This window comes from Homo sapiens, chromosome 3 (assembly GCF_000001405.40).
Source record: "Homo sapiens chromosome 3, GRCh38.p14 Primary Assembly".
In the NCBI taxonomy this organism is placed as follows: domain Eukaryota; kingdom Metazoa; phylum Chordata; class Mammalia; order Primates; family Hominidae; genus Homo; species Homo sapiens.
The window spans coordinates 119,306,643-119,329,020 of record NC_000003.12 but is presented as its reverse complement, the minus strand read 5'-3'; the positions used below and the strand labels follow the sequence as shown (position 1 = coordinate 119,329,020).

Genomic DNA, 22,378 nt, shown 5'->3' with positions numbered 1-22,378 from the left:
ACCTTTTAGAATCATAATAATGATTATTATTTTTCTAGGAGTTATTTAAAGCATTTATCATATGCCACATATTTACTTACATGGTTTCATTTCCTCTCCTCAACAATCCTGGAAAGTGGGTATTATCTCCTTTAATAAATGAAAACACAGAAGTACAGAGAGACCGGCCTGGCCAACAAGGTGAAATCCCATCTTTATTAAAAATACAAAAAGTTAGCTGTGCATGGTGGCACGTGCCTGTAGTCCCAGCTACTCCAGAGGCTGAGGCAGGAGAATCGCTTGAACTCAGGAGGCGGAGGTTGCAGTGAGCCAAGATCGCGCCATTGCACTCCAGCCTGGGCAACACAGTGAGACTCTGTCTCAGAAAAAAAAAGAAAGAAAGAAAGAAAAAGGTGGAGTTTCTGGTGATATATAGGGGTTTGGGTGGGCAGGGAGGAAAAGGGATACAATAGGTATCTTCAAAGTTTGAAATACTGTCCAGAAGAAGAATGAAATTCCCCAGTATAGCGGCTAACAGGTAGCTCTAAAATCAGTATAAGGATGTTGCTAACTGCTCAAAAGAAAGAAGGGCCCTCCAGTATTTGGAACTGTTCACAGATGGAATCGTCTGCTTTGTGAGGTAGGAGTTTCCCATCACTGGAGATGTCCATGCAGAGACAAGAGAGTCAAGCATCAGGACCCTCCAACCTTCACAGTCCCTTCCAACCCCAAATTCCACAATCCACCAGTTAATCTACCATCAGAACTGTCTTCTTAGATTCGGTTTTCCCCCCTCTTAATGTCTCATTTGCAAGTAATCTGCTATACTTGGTGGCATTTACTCTTTCCCTTCCCTTGAGCCATAATTATATTTTAAAATAGTTCAATATCAAGCTAATCATTGGTAGCTTTATGAGGTTTTCTTAAACTAATTTTTTTTAAATCTGATTTTTTAAATCAAACATTTTTCCTGGATTTCTAATATGAGACATCTAAAAACAACTCTATGATCCTTGGGAAGGCAATTTATTTTCTGGAACAGGTTATTCAAAATTTTTCTATCTAATGACCAAATAGTGCTTTAAGTGTCTCTTCTAAAATTAAACAGTAGCAAGATGGATTATTTCAGTTTCTCCTGCCTCTGAATGTTGAATTTACTTGTGCTGGTAACACCAAAAGTAATATGCATTCAATTCAATATGCACTGTTCATTCATTCAACAAATAATTGTGGAGTATCCAATATTGTTCTAGGCTCTGGGGAAACCACAGTGAACAAACACAAACAAAATTCTCTGCTCCTGTGGACCTGCTTTTTAATGGAGGGGACAGAGAGTAAATAAGATAAAGAAGTAAATATACACAAGATAAAATATACATGAACTGGTGACAAACACTAAAGGGAAGACTAAAGCAGGAAGAAGTGAGTGGGAGAGGTGGGGGAAGAGAAAGAGGATGTTGTAATTTATTTTATTTTACTTTATTTATTTATTTTTTTGAGACATTGTCTCGCTGTGTTGCCCAGGCTGGAGTACAGTGGCATGATCTCGGCTCACTGCAACCTCCGCCTCCTGGGTTCAAGCGATTCTCCAGCCTCAGCCTCCCAAGTAGCTGGGATTACAGGCACATGCCACCATGCCCGGCTAATTTTTGTATTTTTTAGTAGAGACGGGGTTTCACCATGTCGGCCAGGCTGATCTCGAACTCCCTGACCTCAGGTGATCCGCCCACCTCAACCTCCCAGAGTGCTGGGATTACAGGCGTGAGCCACTGTGCCCGGCTGACGTTGCAATTTAAATGGAGTGGTCAAGCCCCTTTAAATTCTATTTAAATAAAGGGAGTCCCACTGAGAAAGTGACCATGAGTTTTTTTTGCTGTGGTTTTTGGTTTTGCTTCTGTTTTTGAGACAAGGTCTGGCTCTATCGCCCAGGCTGGAGTGCAGTGGCGCCATCTCACCTCACTACAACCTCCGTCTCCTGGACCCAAGCCATCCTCCCACCTCAGCCTCCGAGTAACTGAGACTACAGGCGCGTGCCACCATGCCTGGCTAATTTTTTGTGTATTTTCCGTAGAGACAGGGTTTCACCGTGTTGCCCAGGCTGGTCTTGAATTTGTGAGCTCAAGTGATCCACCTGCCTTGGCCTCCTAAAGTGCTAGGATTACAGGTGCGAGCCAACCCACCTGACAGAAATTGAGCTTTAAGCCACAAAGGAAATCAGTGAGTGATCAGGGTAAGTATCTGTCAGAACATAAAGGGAATAGCAGATACAAACGCAAGATTCCAGTCATGTTCTGAATACCTGCTGAATGCTTAGCATCATGTGTGGCAAAACGCACTAAAACACAGGTTTCTGAACACCAAGGTCTTGAAGAGGGAAGAACACAAATGCACCCAAAACAATAGCTAGTTAACTGCCAAGTGCTAAATTTGGAAGATCAGATCTCTGAAAAACTTCTCCCCATCAGTTATACTGGACCAGCAGGGTCCCCTGAAACATATCTTGGACGTTTCCACTTCTAGGCCTCTGTCTCATTTCCCAGAGGGGAATGCTATTCTCATACTTTCTTAAGTTTTAGATCTTACACAATGTCCAAAGCCCACCCAGACTTGTTCTCCTTCACAAAACTCTTCCTGACCACCGAGCACCCAGTGTTTCCTTTTTCTGGATCTGTACAGTAGCACGACACATTCTCAGCTGACTGTACCAGACCCTAATTTTAACAAGATCCACAGGTGATTGAAAATGCACACAAAAATCTGAGCATCGCTGTAGGCCACTTGTCTTCAAATGTGCCTACACACTCTAAAACCCTGGGAATCTTTTTATTATTATTATTACTTTTATTTTTGAGACAGAGTTTTGCTCTTGTTGCCCAGGCTGGAGTGCAATGACATGATCTCAGCTCACTGCAACCTCCGCCTCCTGGGTTCAAGTGATTCTCCTGCCTCAGCCTCCTGAGTAGCTGGGATTACAGGCGCCCACCACCACGCCCGGCTAATGTTTTGCATTTTTAGTAGAGACCGGGTTTCACCATGTTGGCCAGGGTGGTGTTGAACTCCTGACCCTAGGTGATCCACCCGCCTCAGCCTCCCAAAATGCTGGGATTACAGGCGTGAGCCACCGTGCCCAGCCCTGGGAAGCTTTTAAAAATACCAATGCCTAGTTCCACCTTCAGAGATTCTGATTTAATCAGTATGGGTGACAGCTAGGCATCAAAAAAAATTTTTAAAAACTTCCCAGGTGATTCTAATATTAAGCGAAGTTTGAAAATTACTGGTAGCTCCTCTCTCCTTTCCCTGAGTTTCTTCTCGCCACTGTTTTGCCCTAGCTGTCAAACAGCCTGCCTTCAGGCTAAGTCATTTCCGTCCCCCCCTTCCCCCCCAACCCCCGCCATCCCCACCAGGTGGATTCTTGGGTATACAGAACTAGGAGAAGCTAGCTTCCCCTCCACCCTTTCTCCCCTGGTTCAAAGGCTCTGGGACTGGCCCATAGAGGCCTTCCCAGAATACAGGACTGCAACAGTGTGAGTGGGAAGAGGCAGACCCAGGGCAGACTCCCGACCCAGCAGTGTGGCCTTAGGTAAGCCTCCTTGGGCAAGCCACTAAAATATGTTGCCTGTAAAGGGGGAACAACATCTCTGAAATCAGCCTGTAGAGTCACAGCGTCTTGGGAAGATCAACAGAGATGATATGTGAATGTGTTTCTAAAATATTAATGTGCATGACAGCTGCGATGGTTTCCTATCCTAGGACAACCATTTCAAATTTAAAAATCTTCCTTTCCCCTACTTCCCACACAACTAAGTAAGAATTTTAAGCAAAATTTTATCTTAGCATCCAAAAAAGATGAATATGCATGTGTAGTATCTGTGTTGATATAGGTAGGTATGATTCAACAGTTACAGCTTGCTGCATCACTAGTTACTAGAAGGCAGTGATTCTGTGACTTGAAGATATTTTAATTAGCACCAAACACACTGAGAGTGTTCAATAAACATTAACCAATGAGGCCTAATTTAAGACGGCATCATATAAGTCCACACTATGCCACTATTGACATGAGGAGTACTGCTTATTGCTTACCCAAATGACACATTTTCACCTTTTAAGTAAAGTATAGCACCTTCATTTAGCCATTCCGCTGATCTGCAAACTGAGAGACCAAGAGACCTTGGTTTATTCAAAATTGGTTCTCTGTTTTACTAAAAGGAGTCGTCCATTAAAAGTTATGCTCAATACTAAATACCAGTTAGAATAGATACAACTGTGCTGCCTTCACCTACACTAAGGGCTAGGGGTTGAGAGTAGAGAAAGACTCCTCTCCCCACTCTTTGTTTTTCCACGTCTATCCTTAAACATTCTTTGAGGATCTGATTCTCGAAAGGGTTTTTGTTGTTTATGTTTGTTTGTTTGTTTCTTTTAATAGCTACAAATCTCCTTGGGAGGGACAAGGAACCTTGATGTGAACCACATGTGGAATACAGCAATGGTACCCAAGCTTTTTGGATTTCACAGATCAAGTTTAAAAGATTTTGGGGGATCTACCTAGGACTGCTAATTTTTTATTTTTCTGAGAGAGGACATCAACCAACAATAACTATCGTATTTCATAACAGAATGGACAATTCAAAATAACTAAAACTATGAAGCATATAGTCTTAGAATAAAGAATTGTCCTGTTCAAGAAAGGACAAGTGTAACCTTAAAATTGTTATAATACATCCGGATAAATTTATTACATAGATGGCCCTACATTTCCTATGGGTCTGCGGTTGTGAGCCACTGTTCTAGACGGCTAGGAGGGTTTGAAGTGAGTTGAGAACCTTTACTGTCCTGAAGATGGGGTAGGGGCTAGACAAGGGTATATTCTAAAAAGAGGAAAGCGCTACTGTAATAATCTTGCCTAGGATTACATACAGATGGGCATAACAGAGTCCCAGGACTTCACCCCTTCGGTGTAGAGCAGGGATGGCAGGGATGGCAAGAGCCCCACTTAGGATACCTGGAAAAAGAAATCTCCGCAGCAAAGGGTCCTTGTGCTGACTTTTCTTTTTCATTTACGAGTGTACCCTCTGTCTCCTTGGGGGCCCACCTTCTTATTCCCAGCAGGAAAGGGGAAGGGGGAGGACAGGAAATGTGGAAACCGCGTTAACAGCCTGATTGTGAACCAGCACTGCGACTGAGATGCGAGGAGGGAAGGACAAAAGTCCCTCCCTCGCTTTTCAAAAAGTAAGCCACAAAAGTTATAGAAACATTTTCTATTAAACATCATCTCCATTTTGCAGAGAACCTAAGGCTCCGAGGACTTGCCCAGGGCCATACAGCCGGTGAGCCCCAGGGCTCAGCCACAGCCCAGGTAACGAGGACAGGGCTTGCTCCAGCCACCATTGGCTGCCTCTTCGGCCTCCCTCTCTCAGGTGAGACAGTATGTCAGGTGAGGCAACTGAAACAATGTCCCTCAGTTCGGATGCATCCTCCCTCTTCGTTTCCTGTCATGAGACAGGTTTCTCCTCTTCCTGGATGTGGTTAAAAAAAAAAGAAGAAGAAAAGAAACAAAAGAAAAAAGGAAAGAAACGCAAAGCAAAGCCAAGCCCAACGTCTTGGCTCTCAGGGTTGCACCTCCTTTCTCTACCCGCGGGGTCTGGGCCGGCGGGGTGTGGCCGCAGCCCTGGGGCGCGAGAAGCCCATCCGGGCCCGAGGTGCTGGGCGGCCTGGAGCGCTGGCTGCCCCCAGGGCCGGCGGCTGTCCCTGGGGTTTCCCCGCTTCTGGGCTTTCCCCGCTTCTGGGCTCGGTGGCCGCGCGGGCGGGCGCCAAGTGACTCAGCCGTCCCCGAGGGCGTTCCGGGAAGCGGCCGGGGGCGCGGGCTTTCCTGTCGCCGCAGCGTGTGAGTCCCCAGCGCCGAAAGGGGATCAGAAACCGCTGGGCGGAGCAGCGGGAGGAAGCTGCGGCGCGCAGAGCAGAGTCAGCGCCACCGTCTTTCGAGCTGGAGCGGAGGGAACGTGGCCTTGACGTTGCTGAAGCTGAAGCGCCGGGCGGGCGCCCGGACCCCGGGGCGGGGCAGAAACGAGTCCGTTCCCTACTGCGGGGCGGGGGCAGGGCTGGAACGGGAGTTCAGGAGGGACAAGGACGTGGAAGGAGCCCAGCAGAGGGCACCCGGGACCCCCGCGGCCGGGCCGAGTTTGAAGGGAGCCCCTCTCCCCCTCCCCCTGGCGGAGCCCCCTGTAGGGTCTGACCTGGTGCCCCGCAACAGGAGCGGGAGGAGGAGCAGGCCCAGAGCGGCCGGGCCCCAGCCTAGAGGGGCGCTCGAGGGGAAGCGAGTGAAGTGAGGGCTCCGCCAGAGCAGCACCCCCTTCCCCGCCGTCCCTCCCGGACTGGCCGGTTCTCGTCAGAGATTCCTTTGTCTTCGACGCTGGTCCCTCCACACCAAGGTGGGAGGCTGAGGTGGGAGGTGGCAGAGCGGTGGGAGTGGGAGCAAGGCCGGAGCGTGGGTGGAGGCGCTGGCCGCGGGCTTGCAAGGATGGCACAAGGGAGACATCCAGGACAAACCATGGGGAACACAGCTGCCACTGAGAGAAGCTGCCCGGAGGAGGAAGGGGCTGCAAAGTTCAACCACCAGGCAAGGCAAGTCCACGAACAAAATCCCGGCTCTAAAAACAGAGCAGCAATTGTCACTGTGGGTTAGACGCTTTGAGTTACCTCTATTTTCATTTATGTCTAAGATAAATTCAAGAGACAAGGAGAAAGTCAGGAGGTTAAAATTCCAGCCTCTGGTCCCAGCTCCCTAAAGCCAGCTCCCTTCTTGTCTTTGCCAAAGTTTGCTTCTATGAATCAGTAATTAACCCCCACTTTTTTTCTTATGTCAGAGTTCCTTCAGTCACAACCAAGAGAGTTCTGACTAATAACACACCTTTTAATCCAGCAATTTTACTTCTGGGAGTTTATTCCAAAGAAATATTACATAACAAAAGAGCCATATGCCTCACAATATTCACTGTGGGCTTGTTCATAAAATTAAAACAATCATAACTATAAATGTCCAGTAATGGAGGCAGGGAATAAACTGGCATATTTATATGATAAACTACTATGGGCCGGGCGTGGTGGCTCACGCCTGTAATCCCAGCACTTTGGGAGGCTGAGGCGGGCAGATCACCCGAGGTCAGAAGTTCAAGACCAGCCTGGCCAACATGGCGAAACCCCGTCTCCACTAAAAATACAAAAACAAGTTAGCTGGGCGTGGTGGTGTGGGCCTATAGTTCCAGCTACTTGGGAGGCTGAAGCAGGAAAATCACTTGAGCCCGAGAGGTAGAGGCTTCAATGAGCTGAGATCGTGACACTGCACTCTGGCCTGGGCAACAGAGCGAGTCTCCGTCTCAAAACAAAACAAAACCTACGGAGCCTTAAAATGTTATATGTAGGGTTTTATAACTTGAATAAAGACTTCGGTTATAAGAAAGCAAGACACAAAATCATATATATATATAATATATATATACACACACACAGTGTAATCACAATATGAAAATGTACATAGAAAAAAAACACTTGAAGGAAATCCACCAAAATGTTACATCTTTGGGTGATAGAATTACATACAAGTATTTTTTTCTTTCTAAAACATTTATGTATTTCCCAATTTATCTACAATGAGGATAAGCATGTATTATTAAAAAGTATGAAAACATTGATTTTAAAATTTTACATATATAGTATATAATTATATATACATAATACATATATATATACTATATATATATATATAGTATATATATATATGTGAAATTGCTGCTGAATAGGAAATCACCGGGCCTGGGTGAAAGATGATAAAATTTACTTGAGCAATTTTTCCACTAATTGAATGATTTTTCTGCAATTTAAAAAGGGTATATGGAAGTTAAAGAGGATGGGTCAATGTTTATACATCTGTATTAGTTCGTTTTCACACTGCTGATAAAGACATACTGGAGACTGGGCAATTTACAAAAGAAAGAGGTTTAATGAACTTGCAGTTCCACATGGCTGGGGAGGCCACAAGTCATGGTGGAAGATTAAAGGCACTCAAGAGAAGAGAGAGCTTTTGCAAGGAGACTCCCGTTTTTCAAAACCATCAGATCTCGTGAGACTTACTCACTATCACAAGAACAGCCCGAGAAAGGCCTGGCCCCATGATTCAATTACCTCCCACCAGGTCCCTCCCACAACACGTGGGAATTCAAGATGAGATTTGGGTGGGGATACAGCCAAACCATATCAATGTCCAAGATATTAGTGAAAGGGAAGGGCATGCCACAGTAGGCCAGAGGAGAGAAAACATCTGAGTTTTAGAATACACAAAAAGAAAATGATGAGATCGCAGCTGATTCTTGATTGGTGAGGACTTGCTGGTTTGTGGGCAGAAGTAATGGAACTTTTAATGGCAAAGGGAAGAATACACTCAAACATTATTTAAGATAGGAGGTAAGGGAGTAATGGGTAAGGTTACTGCATCATGAAAAGTTTTGTTTACAATGGGTTTACTGTATTTATCAGGATAATATTTTTTAATCCTGAAGAATAGGTGTGCAAAATGAATTTAACATCTTCACATTTGGCCCAAGGTTGTTGATACCAGTATTATTATCTTACCTTAGCAATAGGATGAGTATGCTTATTTTGGGTTGGAAAATGCCTAATGATCATGTAGCCCCTTATTTGGGGCCTATTCCTCTTCTATAGGGAGGGAAGGAAGAATATCAAGAAAGCCTCATGTCTAAGTGCCCTGTATCCCTGGAGATCTTTATGTAGCAGCAGAGAATAGACACTGATAAAACCAAGTTTCGCTAGTTTGAGAACTGTTCAGTCTTGTGGGAGGATCTGGTAGAAGGGAGAATGCAGCAATATCCTTCAAGTAATACTACATACCATACCTTGAACAAGGAATGTAGCATAAACTGGTGAGGACCTGTGTTATGATAAAAGGCAAAGCTTTTGCTCTGGGATTGAAATCTAGGACTCTCTGTGGGGTAGATGTAGAATTTACCAAGCCATACACAGAGAGGTGTGGGTCTGGGCTTAAGGAAATCTTGGGTCATTCCAGTTCCCCTCCCTTGATTCTTCCCCTGCCAGGGGAGATCCCTTGCTGATCTCACCTTGTGTGGGCTTTTTATCATTGTCCCTCCCTCACCTATTGAAAGCTGTACACGTTTTACTGGGAATGAAATGGGAGGTGTCACTAGGTTGAGGGTCAGACACTGGACATTCGTGGATTCACAGCCTTCCTCTAACAACTTGACCATCTCACCAACCTCACCACCCTGTTTTCCAATCACTGGAATAGATTATAGGGAAAGAGGGGGAACCGCTCATGGTTCTTTTTAGACTTTTAAAATTAAAGTCTGTTAGAGCCAGGGGATATGATGCTTCAGTACTAGGAAAATGTTTGGTTATCTACAGATTCTTGTTGATTAAATGAAATAAGCGCAAATGTTTGGGTTGGATATGACTGTGTTGGCATCTAGATGGAAGGTGGGAACTGCCTTGCTTGATATCCTGCAATTTATGGAATGCAGTGAAATGTTATCTTCTTAAGATGTCTTATGCTATAATGTACCGTGGTTTCTTAATATTTTCCACAAAAATAAAAGACGGTGGCAGAGAAATTATCTTTTTAAAAGTTATTACAGCAGAACAGAAAGCAATGATCTTTGCTTTGTCTAAAATCAAAACACCAACATAAATATTTGTATGACACTTGGGCTCACAAAATAGAAAAATTTTCTGACCCATCCCTAAAAAGAAAGAAACAAAAAAAACTCTAGAGTTTTTTTTTTTTTTAATATATGATGAAATCCAGAAGGTGCTTTTATCTCATAGCACCCATACCAGAAGATTAATCTCTGTGGTTGGTGTCTTGTTCTGGTTGAAAATGCGTTTGAGCCGAGCTTTGGAATCCTCACTAGTTAGAACATCTGTTCCACAGTTGTTAATGTTTGTTTGGTATTACCCAAAAGAAGGCAGCAGAAGGGAAGAATTTTTAACAATGAGTCCCAAGATAGACTAGACCAGCAGCGTTGCTTATTTTGAAAAGGCATTTTTTTTGTTTTTTTGGAGCAATCTGACCTGTATGTAAAAAAAAATGGGCAGGTTGTTGGACCAAGAGATAGAGGTCCATCTAATACTGGAATGTAGCTTAGCTTGTTTTCACCTTCTCAATTTTTTCCCAGGAATATTTGTTTATTGAATTATTACTGCATTCTGTACTACCAGAGCTTAGATTTTGAATTTTTAGAGATTTAAATGTTTAACTCAAAATAATTATAAGCGAGAGACTAATTCTACAGTATTAAATTAGAATTATTCAAGAGTAAAAAAGTTCTAGCTGTCATAGAGAGAAAGTCTAGGTAAAGTAAGTAAGTATATTAGTTGTGAATTTCTACCCTAGCCAAGAAAAGAGAGAACTGTTCCTTCTTATAGGCTCTGTGAAACAGAATTAAATTAATCAGGAAGTAAAGTATCTCCTTAATTTGCTAACTAAGGTAAGGTTTAAGAAAAATCAAGCTGACCTGCATCTACTGGGTAGAAAAATTATATTTAAGGCAATACTCAAATTATTAGATGATGTTTTTAAAAAGATCAGAGCACAACCTCTCTGTCAATAATGCCGTCTTTGAAATATTCTTATTATACCTTCAAGAGTTCAAATGGAGATAACTTAAATCGATTCTGAAAGTCACCCAGTTAAAAACCATTAGACCTAGCATTTGAAAACTTCGTAGAAACTGCTGGGTATTATTGAGACAGGGTCTCGATCTTTCACCCAGGCTGGGGTACAGTGGTGCAATCATAGCTCACTGCAGCCTCGACTTCCTGGGTTCAAGCAGTCCTCCCACTTCAGCCTCTTGAGTAGCTGGGGACACAGGCATGAGCCACCATGCCCAGCTAATGAAAATTTTTTTTTTTTTTTGTACAGACCAAGTCTCAGTATGTTGCCCTGGGTGGTGCTCCAAAATTAAATAGAAAGAGGGAAAGATCCTAATCCTTCAGACCATCTATTTAAAAACCGTGAACAAACTGACAGGACTCTTCAGCTGAAAGAACAGCAATTCCCTTTTTAACTAAAGTCCCTTTCCTATTCACTACTTCAACTGGTCCTCACAATATCTCTTTTAGGCCTATCAAAGCAAATATTTTTATCTCCATATTCCTCAGTTTCCAGATAAGCAAACTGAGGCTTAGAGAATAATCTTACCCCATGTCACAGTAGTACTTCCACTTAGTCAACTACTTCAGAAATTCTAAATTACCTTGTACTTTTCTGTACCAGCTTCTAATTCCATTCTTCCTATCCTCCTTCCTTTCTTTTTCCCTCTCATTTCTTCTTTCTTCCCTTTCCTCCTACAGTAATTGGGATGCATCTGTAGTGGTAGGAATTATTCTGTGTTGTTAGTGTTCACATAAAAAATATTTATACCCATAGTGGCAGGAGGGCTGAGAACTATTCATAGAAATGCTGGTATTAAGTGGCATTAATATCAGCCCTTCAATTCTGCCTTATTTCTTTACTGCTTCTACTGAAAATAGAAATGTGGCCAGGCGCAGTGACTCACGCCTGTAATCCCAGCACTTTAGGGGGCCAAGGTGGGCAATCATGAGGTCAGGAGATCGAGACCATCCTGGCTAACACGGTGAAACCCCGTCTCTACTAAAAATACAAAAAATTAGCCGGACATGGTGGTGGGCGCCTGTAGTGCCAGCTACTCGGGAGGCTGAGCCAGGAGAATAGCGTGAACCCAGGAGGCGGAGCTTGCAGTGAGCTGAGATCGCGCCACTGCACTCCAGCCTGGGCGACAGAGCGAGACTCCGTCTCAAAAAAAAAAAAAGAAAAAAGAAAATAGAAATGTGACATACCATACAAAACATAAAACATCACATTACATATTAGTGCTGAGCATTTTTTATCAAACAAAAATACACATGGCTTTGCGTATGTGTTCTGCAGGCTATTTACAAAATGTCTTACGCAAAACAAAACACCTGGACTGCCCAGAGGAAAGCTTCTGGAGTAAACCTGATTGCAGAAAGCAGGTATTAGTGAGGTCAGGGAGAGCAAAGACAGGAGGGACATAGGGGATAAATGGTTGGCTGGGTGGGTGACCTGCGGCACAAAAGAAGTTTTGCTGATTTGCAGATTCAAGCAGCAGTGGTTTTCAACTTATTTTTTTAAGCATGAAGTGCTTTGTTCAGATAAATTTCACTCCAAAGCATAAAACAAATAGCACTAAAGAAGCAGAGTTCTTTGGCTGAAGCAGGGTGGGGAACCCTAGAGCCTTCCCTCTGAGGCCCCACTAGTGGCCCCTGTGATGGGAAAAGCATAGCACAGACTTGAGGTTTTTGTACTTAACCATCCTTTAAAATAAGCAGGCAAACACAATTTCTTAAGATTAAAGTATGGGCCCCACAGCAACTATTTCACCAACAGCCCCCAACTCAAGCTCACTCCAGCTCAGGGTTTCAGAGAGAAGAGGCAGCTGGCCAGGGATTTCTCTGTTTGCTGGAAACCTGATTACCTATCTTTAAAGCTGAGTGTACCCTACACAGGACAGGGGTGTGAAAATAGGTTTGGCTTCCTAGGGAAATGGTGGGGGTTGTAGGATTGTTGTGGGCTGTATCAAGTTTATCCAGTCCTAAAACAACAGTTCTGTTTAGAGAAAGTTATTCTCAACCTGTATCCCTCAGTACTGCACTGGGAGATTGATCATACTTTATATTCCTTTAACAACCCACTATTTTCAAAGCACACTGTTTTTGCATCCATTGTCTTGTTAGATCCCCACTCCATGAGACAAGTTAGACAGGTATTATGATCCCATTTTACAGATGAGGAAGCTGAGGCTCAGAAAGATGAAGAGAATGCTGCAAGGTCACATGACTAATACACAGTTCTGATTCCCATCCAGAGTTTTAAACACGCCTGCTGTGTACATAGAGCTTGCATCCTAGGGAGGTAGTAGTAAAGGCCACAGATTTGGTGTTACCAGCTTTGTGTCCTTAGGGAACATCAGTGTCCTCATTATACAGCATGTGTGATAATTACCTGCCTCACGACTTCATAGGATTTTGAAGAACAATGAGACGATTTGTAAGAGTACTCTGTAATGTGCTGTCTAAGGATTACTTTCTCCCTTCCCCACCCCAACATTTTGGCAAGTTCTCTGTCCTTCTATTAACTTGGACCTCACTTTTACAAACCAAATAAAATTTGTTTCACATTCTCTGTATTGTGCAAGCCTCTTACTATTGTCAGCTGCTGGTCAGCATCCACAGCAGCAGCTAGCTCCCCTTTTGCACCAAACCAAAGCTCTTTATCTCTCCACATCAGAGATGTGAGTATGCACCACCAAAGGTTTGTAAGGCTGCCTTACCCCTAGTCCCAAGCAGTGTCCACAGGGACTGTGGGTCAGCCTGATGTCTTAGCGAGGCCTTAAGAGGTGGCAGCGGGGAAGCTGGGCCTTTGCAGAGTCATCACAGGCCAGGGTCTTGTCTTTTCCTTTGCAGAATCATAACCTGAATTTGGCAAGTTCACTAGAAGGTGATCATCGTGCTCTGCTGCTAAGTTCAGAGCGGATGACTTTGTAATGTCAAATGGCAATTGAATTATTTTGTATAGAAGTTCAGAATTGGGTTTGGGCTTCTTATAGATGGGGGCCTCACTGAGAAGAGCAAGTTGCAGATAATAAAATTTGTTTGATAATGAAATCAAAGTAAAAGAAAGTTGGAATAATTTAGGGAATATGCATGTTTTATAAAATGAAAATATTCTTGTTGGTTTTTCAAACTATAAACATTATTATACATGTTCATTGTTACAAAAAGCAATTCAGACAACACGGTAACAGCAGTATACACAGAAGAGAAAAGCATCCATCCAGAGAAAGCTCTTGCTTATGTTTTTGAGTATTTTCCTCCAGCTATGCACCTGGACAATGTACTAGAAGGCCCTGAAGGACTTCTGCTGGTAGCAGATGGCTGAAGCTGTCAGGGCTTGGGGGAGGCACAAGGGTGTGGAGGAGGGTTATGTCAGGAAAACAGCTCTGCCAATTTCCTTCCACTATGGCAGTGGGGGATGTCTATAAGGACTCATTGCATTCACTGCCTATCAGTAAATACAGGCTCTGGGGCCATTAGTTCTTCCTGAACACAAGTGCCTAAACTGCTGTACAATCATAGTATTCAAATTCTACTTTAAAAGTCCTTTTGCTTATATTATCTCACCTAATTCTCACCCCTCTTTTAGATGAAGAAATTGAGAAACAGAAAGTATGATGATTTGCTTAAGACCAGATGACAATTATCTGCAGAATGAAGACAATCCTGACCTCCATCAGTGGATCCCTTCGCCACCTCCACAGTCTCCCCATTGCATGGACACAGACACATGACAGATGCACACATATGTGCAAAACACTTATACAGAACACACTCCTCCACCTCCACCTCACTACCACGCAATCCCAAGACAGCATTGCCCTTCTCTGGACCCAGCCACTCGGTCAACACATATTTACGAACATTATGCTAGGCACTGGCAATAAAATAATGAACACCAGAAGACACAGTTCCTGAGTCTCACAGAGATGACCCAGGATCATTCAGAGTCTAGGATGAGGCAGGGATTAGGTGGGGATGAGGATGATAAGAGCAGCGTTGGGGAAGTACAGGATAAGATGAGAACACACACCAAGGGCACCTAACTTTTTCTCTGGAGGACCAGGAAAGGCACCCTGGAGGATGAGACATCCGAGCTGAGGTGCAAAAGATGGGTTGGAGTTGGCAAGGCCCAAAGTGAGGCTAAAAAGAGAGTTGAGGGGAGTGTTCCACACAGAGGAAGGAACGTGTACGAAAACTTGGAGGCAAGAGCGGCATGGCACTTTTGAGGAACTGCGAGAAGTAGAGTGTGGCCAGGGATAATGCTCTGGTCGGGAGATGTGTCCATTGAGGCTGCAGAGGAAGCAGGTATCTGCATGTGAAGGCGGCAAACCTTGTTGGTGTTGATGGAGTTGGTGTTTGTCTTGCAGGCACTGGAAAGCCATTGACGGATTTAGTGAGTGCCACTGGTGACAAGCTCTTATTAAGACATTCTCCTTTTGCCCACTATAAGAATCTATGGATATAAATGTTTTCTGATCCTACCTTAAGATATACTCTGGCTACAGCATCTGCAAAAATATAGATACTCAACTTCAGGATATGTTTTCAGTTTAGGCTGCCACCTCCATTTCACCTGCTTTTGCCACTCTTCTTGGGTCTTTGTGATCTGTGCCAGGTTGGCCTGGATAACCACTGTGACCAAGATGCATGGATATACCAGTTTGTGGGCCAGACAGCTTCTAAGTCTTCCCTGCTCTCAGCCTCAGCTTTACTCCAGGGCCTAAACTCCAGCTGTCCAGCTGACAGAGTATCAATTGACCAGACAAAATCCCTCACGAATACTGGAAAACAAGTTTAAACTATAATTAGAAGTATGTGGGCTAGCAAATTCTACCCTCGTTCGTTCAGCAAAGGGAAGCCATTATTGATATTTAACAAGTTATAGATAATAGAAATTATCAATGAAAATGATACGTGGCTCATATATTCAATAGATAAGTGATCAATATTTAGATAATAAGTGAAATCTTACAGGAACTTGTAAAAAGAGAAAGCTTCATACACAAAGAAATGGTGAAATAAATTATGGTTTAAAAAATAAAACATATGTATATTTGCTTGTATATACACAAAATATCTTTGGAAGGATTTCCAAGAAAATAACACTAGTTGATTCTGGGAAGAGGAACAGAGAAGCTGGGGACAGGGATGGGAAGGAAATTTTTTTACTATACTCTTTAGAGTCTTTTACATTTTAAACAACAATAATGTGATATCTGATTTGAAAAATAATTAACACTTTAAAAACCATCCATTCAGTAGAATCTCATCCAGTGATTAAAAAGAAAGAAATCAAATTATAGTTACAAAATGGGTAGTTGGCCAAGGTCTACTCTCACTTGAAAATAGCATATTTCAGAACATGTGTATGATATAACTTTATTTTTGAGGGAAAAGAACAAAGAATATCAATCTCCATGCGAATTTTTAGTAAACACACAGAGAAAGGTCTCTGTGCTATCCAGTGTAACTGCCACTAGCCACATTTAAATTAATTAAAATTAAAATTTTAGTTCCTGGGTAGCACCAGCCACATTCAAGTGCTCAACAGACACATGTGGCTAGTGGCTGCCACACTGGGCAGCACAGATAGAGCAAGTTTCCATCTTTGCGGAAAGCTCCATTATACCGAATTAGATGAATCTGTCTAGACTGATAACTGACAAATGGGGCTACAAGGATGTGGGAAGGGACTTTATACTTTATAAATCACATTGTTGTTGTTGTTGTTTTTAACAATTGCTTTTGTTATTTTATTTTATTATTTTTGTAATTTTACAAGAGAAGAAGACGGCTTGTACTTGTGTCAGGTGTTTATTCCTTATTAAATCACATCCTGCATTGTTTCTCAAACTGGGGAAATGACAAAGATGAAGAGAAGGCTGGAAGAAAAAGAGATGGGATGGAGTAGAAGCGTGACCAGGAGGCGGGTGAGAAGGAACATTACAAAGTTTTTCACCTCAAATAAAACTTGGATTTGAAACGTTAAACATCCTTCTAGTTATCATCCACAGGACTGAGTGAAATGAAATTTCCCAAAATTATAAATAAATGGAACAAAGTTTGAAACTCTGGTTTAGAATTGCCCCAGGTACATTTTCTCTCCACCTGAAAAAAGTTTATTCCCTGATGGGGGTCCAATTTTTTCTCAACAGCTACAACAAAACCAACAAAAAGGACAAGGTGGTTTTAAACGTGGCTCTTGTGAGCTTTCCACTTCCTTTATCAGTCTGGAATTTAAATGGACACATTTGTCTTCACCACTCTCTTTTCCCTGGAAGATTTAAAATGGTCACTCAAGTAGCCATTGGTTCCTGTAAACAGAGAGTTCAGGCAGATAGATACTGTCACCTTTGTTCTCTTTTGAGAATGTTGATCCTGCTGTACTGTTTTTACCACTCTACCTTGATTTTTGTTGTTACCTCTGTCTGGAATATCTTCCCTTCAGACAGAGACTACTCAGATTCCACTCATCTTTTAAGATCCCACTCCTCTGAGTCAGAACTGATGTCATCTACTTCCTATTGTGGTTTGTGTGAGAATCAGTTGAAGATACGTCCATCATATGGGATTGTGACCCTGTCTCCCACATTCCCTCCCCAGGACAGATAATACCTGTTCCTCCCAGTGTCCCAGCTGATCCAATGCCTGATAAGTGCTTAGCAGATGGTGGCATTTGATGTCCATCTCTTCCTCCACTCCCATAATCGCCACTCTATTCTCTTAAGTGAATGCTATCTGTTAGCCAACCGTGTCCTGTGGGAAAACAAACTGTGGTTTGTTGAGTAACGTCCCCCCAAAGAGGTCCACATCCTTATTCCTAGAATCTGTGAATATTACCTTATATGGCAGAAGGGATTTTGCAGATGTTATCAAATTAAAGATCTTGAGATGGGGAGATTATTTTGGATTGTCTGAGTGGTCCTAATGTAATCACTTCATAAGAGAGACGCAGATCAGACAGAGGAAGACAATGTGAGGATGGAGGCTGAGGAGCAAAGGTGACATGAGTCAAGGAATGAGGAAGGCCTCTAGAAGCTGGAAATGGCAAGATTCTCCCTTAGAGCCTGCAGAAACAAACCAGCCCTGCAGACACCTAATACACAGAGGAACAGAGGATGGGTGCCAGTCTTCAAGGAGCTCGTTTTCTTCTTACTCAAGGGAGGAAATTATGACAGCGGTTGGAAGTGAGAGGTAACAGAGGTCTACTCTAGGGCAGAAACACTGGGAACGGAGACGATTGGCCAACTGGGGAATCTACTGGCATTAAAACGGACAGGCGTGATGGGGAGCTGGAGGCAGACAGAGGGGAACATAGGCTGTCACTTCTGTGCTCTTCATTGACCACTTTCTGCCTTGCTGGAGGTTAGCACCACACCAGCCTACCTGTTTCATCTGCATGTCTATCCTTCAAAGCTGTCTTTTCCCCTTTAAAAGCCTGTTTCTTCAGTTAATTCCAATTTAGGGTTGGGAAAAAGGAAGTTGATTAGGTGAATTACCAGTGAGATTTAAAAAAAAGCAGTTGGTAGTGCCTTTAATCTTCCCAGGCGTGTGAGCATTTACAACAGGCATTACCTAACTCAAAGTGCTCTCGCTAAATGGTGGTTGTCTAAGCCAGCAGTCCCCAACCTTCTTGGCACCAGGGACCAGTTTCGTGGAAGACAACTTTTCCATGGTGGTGGGGAATGGTTTTGGGATAAAACTGTTCCATCTCAGATCATCAGGCATTAGGTAGATTCTTATAAGGAACCTGCAACCTAAATCCCTCGTGCGCAGTTCACAATAGGATTGGCGCTCCTATTAGAAATGCTGCTGATCTGACAGGAAGCAGAGCTCAGGCAGTAATGCTCTCTTGCCTGCCCTCACCTCCTGCTGTGCAGCCTGGTTCCTAAGGGACCATGGATCATACCTGTTTGCAGCCTGAGGTTTGGGGACCCCCAGTCTGCACCATATTACCAAGGCAAGAACTCCCTGAAGGGTGAATCACTTGGTTAAGAATCTGTTCTGGAGTCTGGATCTCCTTTCTTGCACACCACTGGGTGACCACAGAATGTTGTTGTGTCATCTCTGGCTGCTCTCCTGGAAGCTTTTCCAGGCCAAGTCCCTAACTGGTTTTCTCTTTTGACCCCTGAAGACTGAGCCTGGGCTCCCTGTGTGGCCAAGGCATTCAATTACCCAATGTGATCTATTGTTCTCTAGCTGCTTCTCCTGTGAATGCCAGTCAGCTTGACGGGAGGATAATTTAGAAAGGGACCGTGTAGTGTGACGGACTGAGACAGGACTTAGATTGAACCCTGGCTTTGCCAAGTACCAGCTATGTGGTTTTGGGCATATCACTTCACTTCTCTGAGATTCTATTTTATTTTGTTTTCTTTTTTGAGACCTGAGATTAAAAAAAAAAAAAAACAGTTGATAGTGCCTTTAATCTTCCCAGGCATGTGAGCATTTACAACAGGCATTACCTAACTCAAAGTGCTCTCGCTAAATGGTGGTTGTCTAAGCCAGTGGTCCCCAACTTTTTTGGCACCAGGGACTGGTTTCGCAGAAGACAACTTTTCCATGGTGCTGGTGGTTGTGGTGGGGGGGATAGTTTTTTTTGAGACAGAGTCTCACTCTGTCTCAGGCTGGAATGCAGTGGCATGATCACAGCTCACTGCGGCTTTGACCTCCTGGGCTCAAGCAATCCTCCCACCTCAGCCTCCTGAGTAACTGGGACCACAGCCCCACGCCACCATGCCTGGCTAATATTTGTATTTTTTTTTTTGTAGAGACAGAGTCTTGCCATATTGTCCAGGCCGGTCTTGAACTTCTGAGTTCAAACAACTCTCCTGCCTCAACCTCCCAAAGTGCTGGAATTACAGGTGTGAGCCACTGCACCCAACCTCTATTTTCTTCTCTGACCTCCTAGGGCTGTTTTCAGAGACACATGAGTTAACATTTGCACAGGGCCTGGCAAGAGGCAAGTTCTCAATCGATGGGAGCCATGATTCCAGCACTTCTGTGGCTTCCTCAGCAGTCAGCAAGGCTGAACACATATTACTGACAGGCCAGCAGCACTTTACACTTGCAGTCTACAAAGTAGAGACTCATTAGTAGAATGACATGTTCTCCACAAACCCTCACATACAGGGCTTTCCGTTTGTCCATTTTGTTTCAAGCAATCAGAAATGGAATTTAGGGAGTATTTCTAACAGTGTACCAAATTGGATTAATTGGCCAGGCACGGTGGCTCACACCTGTAAACCCAGCATTTTGGGAGGCAAAGGTGAGTGGAATACTTGAGTCCAGGAGTTTGAGACCAGCCTGGGCAACATCGTGAAACCTTGTCTCTACAAACAATACAGAAATTAGCCAGGCGTGGGGGTGCATGCCTGTAGTCCCAGCTTCTTAGGGGGGATGAGGCGGGAGGATCACTTGAGTCCAGGAAGTCAAGGCTGCAGTGAGCCAAGATTGTACCACTGCACTCCAGCCTGGGTGATAAAGTGAGACCCTGTCTAAAATTTAACAACAACAAAAAAAATCATATAATGACCACATTTAGGAATTGGGAAAGACTTCAGAGGTCATCAGGTATGGGCAATTTGCCCAGTGCGACACCTTTCTGGAGGGCGGTAAGCAGTATAATGCCCTTCAAAGATGTCCATGCCATAATCCCTGGGACCTGTGAATATGTTACCTTCTATACAAAGAGGCTTTACAGATGTGATTAGGTTAAGGACCTTGAGATAGGGATAGTGTCCTGGATTATACAAGCAGGCTTAACCTGATCACATGAGTCATTGAAAGCAGAGAAGCTTTCCCAGCTGTGGGTAGAGAAAGACATGACTTTGGACAAATGGTGGAAGACATGCAATATGGTTGGCTTTGAAGACAGATGGAGGAAGGTGCCATAAGCCAAGGAATGTAGGTGGTTTCTGGAAGCTGGAAAAGGCAAGGAAATGGATTCTTCCCCAGAGCCTCCAGAAATACATCTTGCACCTTGACTTTAGTGACAGCTGTGTTGGACTTCTAACTTACAAAACTGTAGGATAATAGATTTGTATTGTTTTAAGTCATTAAGTTTGTGGTAATTTGTTATGGGAGCAATAGGAAACTAAGACAAGGGACAACAAACACCACAACCCAGAGAGGCCAGCATGGTCATGTCTGCAAAGGAAGCAGCATTTACTTGTCTGTAATAAACATTCTCAGCAACTTCATTTGTCATCTGTAGCATTTTACAATCCTTCACTCTTCTGATCACCTTGCTAAATATAATTCTGTGTACAAGCTTCCATGTTAAAATGCAGCTCCAGAATAAAGACAACGCTGCGTGCGTGACTCCAGTCCTGAAGAGTGTGGATGGATCCCTTGATCTATATACTCTGCTGCTGTTCCTACAGCCTAAGATTGAGCTTTTTTTTTTTTTTTTTTTTGCTGTTAATTCATACTTGGATTCACTCTCAAGCCAGATTTACCTCATTCCGTCAACTTCCAAAATGCAGTTTTGGGGCAAATAAATAGGCATATGTGAGATGTCTTATGGCCCAGCAAAAATCCAGGACTTACATTGTTCCATCAATGATGGAAACAGACTTGATTGCCAGATTTATAACTCTCCTGAAATACAGATGGAAACTAGCAGGCTAGATGGCTGTCACTGTGATTATAGCCTTTTTATCATAAACTTTATAAGGGAGGAAGAATTATTTTTAGATTATTTTCTTTTTCTAATTGCTAAAGAAATATAAAACTTAGAAAGTTTGCCACATTCCCACCCCAGATATATTTATCAACAGATTAGAATCTTAAAACTAGCATTTTTATACATCCACCCAAGGGAAATAAATAATTGTGTACATACAAGAGAATTTCTTAGAGAAAGAAACCCCTAGGGATAGATGGGGGCCTTGGAATATTTGTTCTCAGCTTTCTCAACTTCCACATCTATAGCATAACCGAGGAACCATACTTTTAGTAATAAGGCTGAAACACGGTAAGATTTCCAATCCTCAAGGAAATGATAACCATAGTTAATAGGTATGGAAGGTTTACTAAATTCCAAACAGTGCACTAGTTGCTTTAATGCTCATAATGGCTCTATGTGGTAGGTACCATTATCATCATAATCTCCACTTTACAGATGAAGAAACTGAGGCATAGAGAGGTTTGGTAGCTTGTCCATGGTCACAAACCTAGCATGTGGTAGAGTTGGAATTTGAATCATGGTAGTCTATCAGCAAACAAACCATATGCTCAACCACCCTGCTACACACTGCGGATAGGTTAATTGGTTTCACTATACTGGATCTATTAAGGCATGAAAAAAAAAACTAACAGACTTAGTTTTTTTTTTCTAAAAATAAAGATTGAAACAAAGGGCATTTATGAAAAAGCCAATGACTCAAGACACACTATTCCTAAAATAATTTTAGAAATGTTTCTTTCTGATTTAAAAGATAAAAATGTATCTTCAGTGTTGAAATGTTGGGCAATATAAAAGTATAATGAAGAAAATAAAAATCGTGTCGTTTCACATAGCTGCTTCTTTCTGTGTGCTAAGTCAGTGTTTCTCAAAGTGAGATCAGTAGGCCAAGGATATTAGATCACCTGGAGCTCATCTTTAAAATGTGGATTTCCCACCCCAGACCAACAAAAGTAAAATCCCTGAGGAACTGGACCTCAGAATCCTGACTTGCAGCAGCACTTTACAGCTTGCTGCCCTATAAACTAT

General features: G+C 43.1%; 1 protein-coding gene and 1 long non-coding RNA gene across 3 annotated transcripts in view, besides 7 other annotated features; one reads left to right on the top strand and one right to left on the bottom strand.

Annotated features, from left to right (window-relative positions):
* The window catches only part of ARHGAP31 (Rho GTPase activating protein 31), a 126,332-nt gene that overhangs the window by 91,694 nt on the left and 12,260 nt on the right, over positions 1–22,378 (bottom strand). The window lies entirely within an intron of this gene.
* Positions 2,090–2,179: an enhancer, noted in NCBI's record as "active region_20298". NCBI's record gives its function as "activates an Ori minimal core promoter by ATAC-STARR-seq in GM12878 lymphoblastoid cells {active_cell/tissue: GM12878}" and the evidence as "EXISTENCE:reporter gene assay evidence [ECO:0000049][PMID:35858748]".
* Positions 4,876–5,732: an enhancer, noted in NCBI's record as "H3K27ac-H3K4me1 hESC enhancer chr3:119042136-119042992 (GRCh37/hg19 assembly coordinates)". NCBI's record gives its function as "activates a minimal SCP1, AML or CMV promoter by ChIP-STARR-seq in primed H9 embryonic stem cells {active_cell/tissue: H9 hESC(primed)}" and the evidence as "EXISTENCE:reporter gene assay evidence [ECO:0000049][PMID:30033119]".
* Positions 4,876–6,590: a biological region, named in NCBI's record as "H3K27ac-H3K4me1 hESC enhancers GRCh37_chr3:119041278-119042135 and GRCh37_chr3:119042136-119042992".
* Positions 5,554–5,903: a silencer, noted in NCBI's record as "silent region_14629". NCBI's record gives its function as "represses an Ori minimal core promoter by ATAC-STARR-seq in GM12878 lymphoblastoid cells {active_cell/tissue: GM12878}" and the evidence as "EXISTENCE:reporter gene assay evidence [ECO:0000049][PMID:35858748]".
* Positions 5,733–6,590: an enhancer, noted in NCBI's record as "H3K27ac-H3K4me1 hESC enhancer chr3:119041278-119042135 (GRCh37/hg19 assembly coordinates)". NCBI's record gives its function as "activates a minimal SCP1, AML or CMV promoter by ChIP-STARR-seq in primed H9 embryonic stem cells {active_cell/tissue: H9 hESC(primed)}" and the evidence as "EXISTENCE:reporter gene assay evidence [ECO:0000049][PMID:30033119]".
* Positions 5,954–6,313: a silencer, noted in NCBI's record as "silent region_14628". NCBI's record gives its function as "represses an Ori minimal core promoter by ATAC-STARR-seq in GM12878 lymphoblastoid cells {active_cell/tissue: GM12878}" and the evidence as "EXISTENCE:reporter gene assay evidence [ECO:0000049][PMID:35858748]".
* Positions 6,261–14,728, top strand: ARHGAP31-AS1 (ARHGAP31 antisense RNA 1). Its single transcript, NR_046748.1, has 2 exons — positions 6,261–6,407; positions 14,252–14,728. It is a non-coding gene; the product is annotated as an ARHGAP31 antisense RNA 1 (long non-coding RNA).
* Positions 18,639–19,140: an enhancer, noted in NCBI's record as "NANOG hESC enhancer chr3:119028728-119029229 (GRCh37/hg19 assembly coordinates)". NCBI's record gives its function as "activates a minimal SCP1, AML or CMV promoter by ChIP-STARR-seq in naive H9 embryonic stem cells {active_cell/tissue: H9 hESC(naive)}" and the evidence as "EXISTENCE:reporter gene assay evidence [ECO:0000049][PMID:30033119]".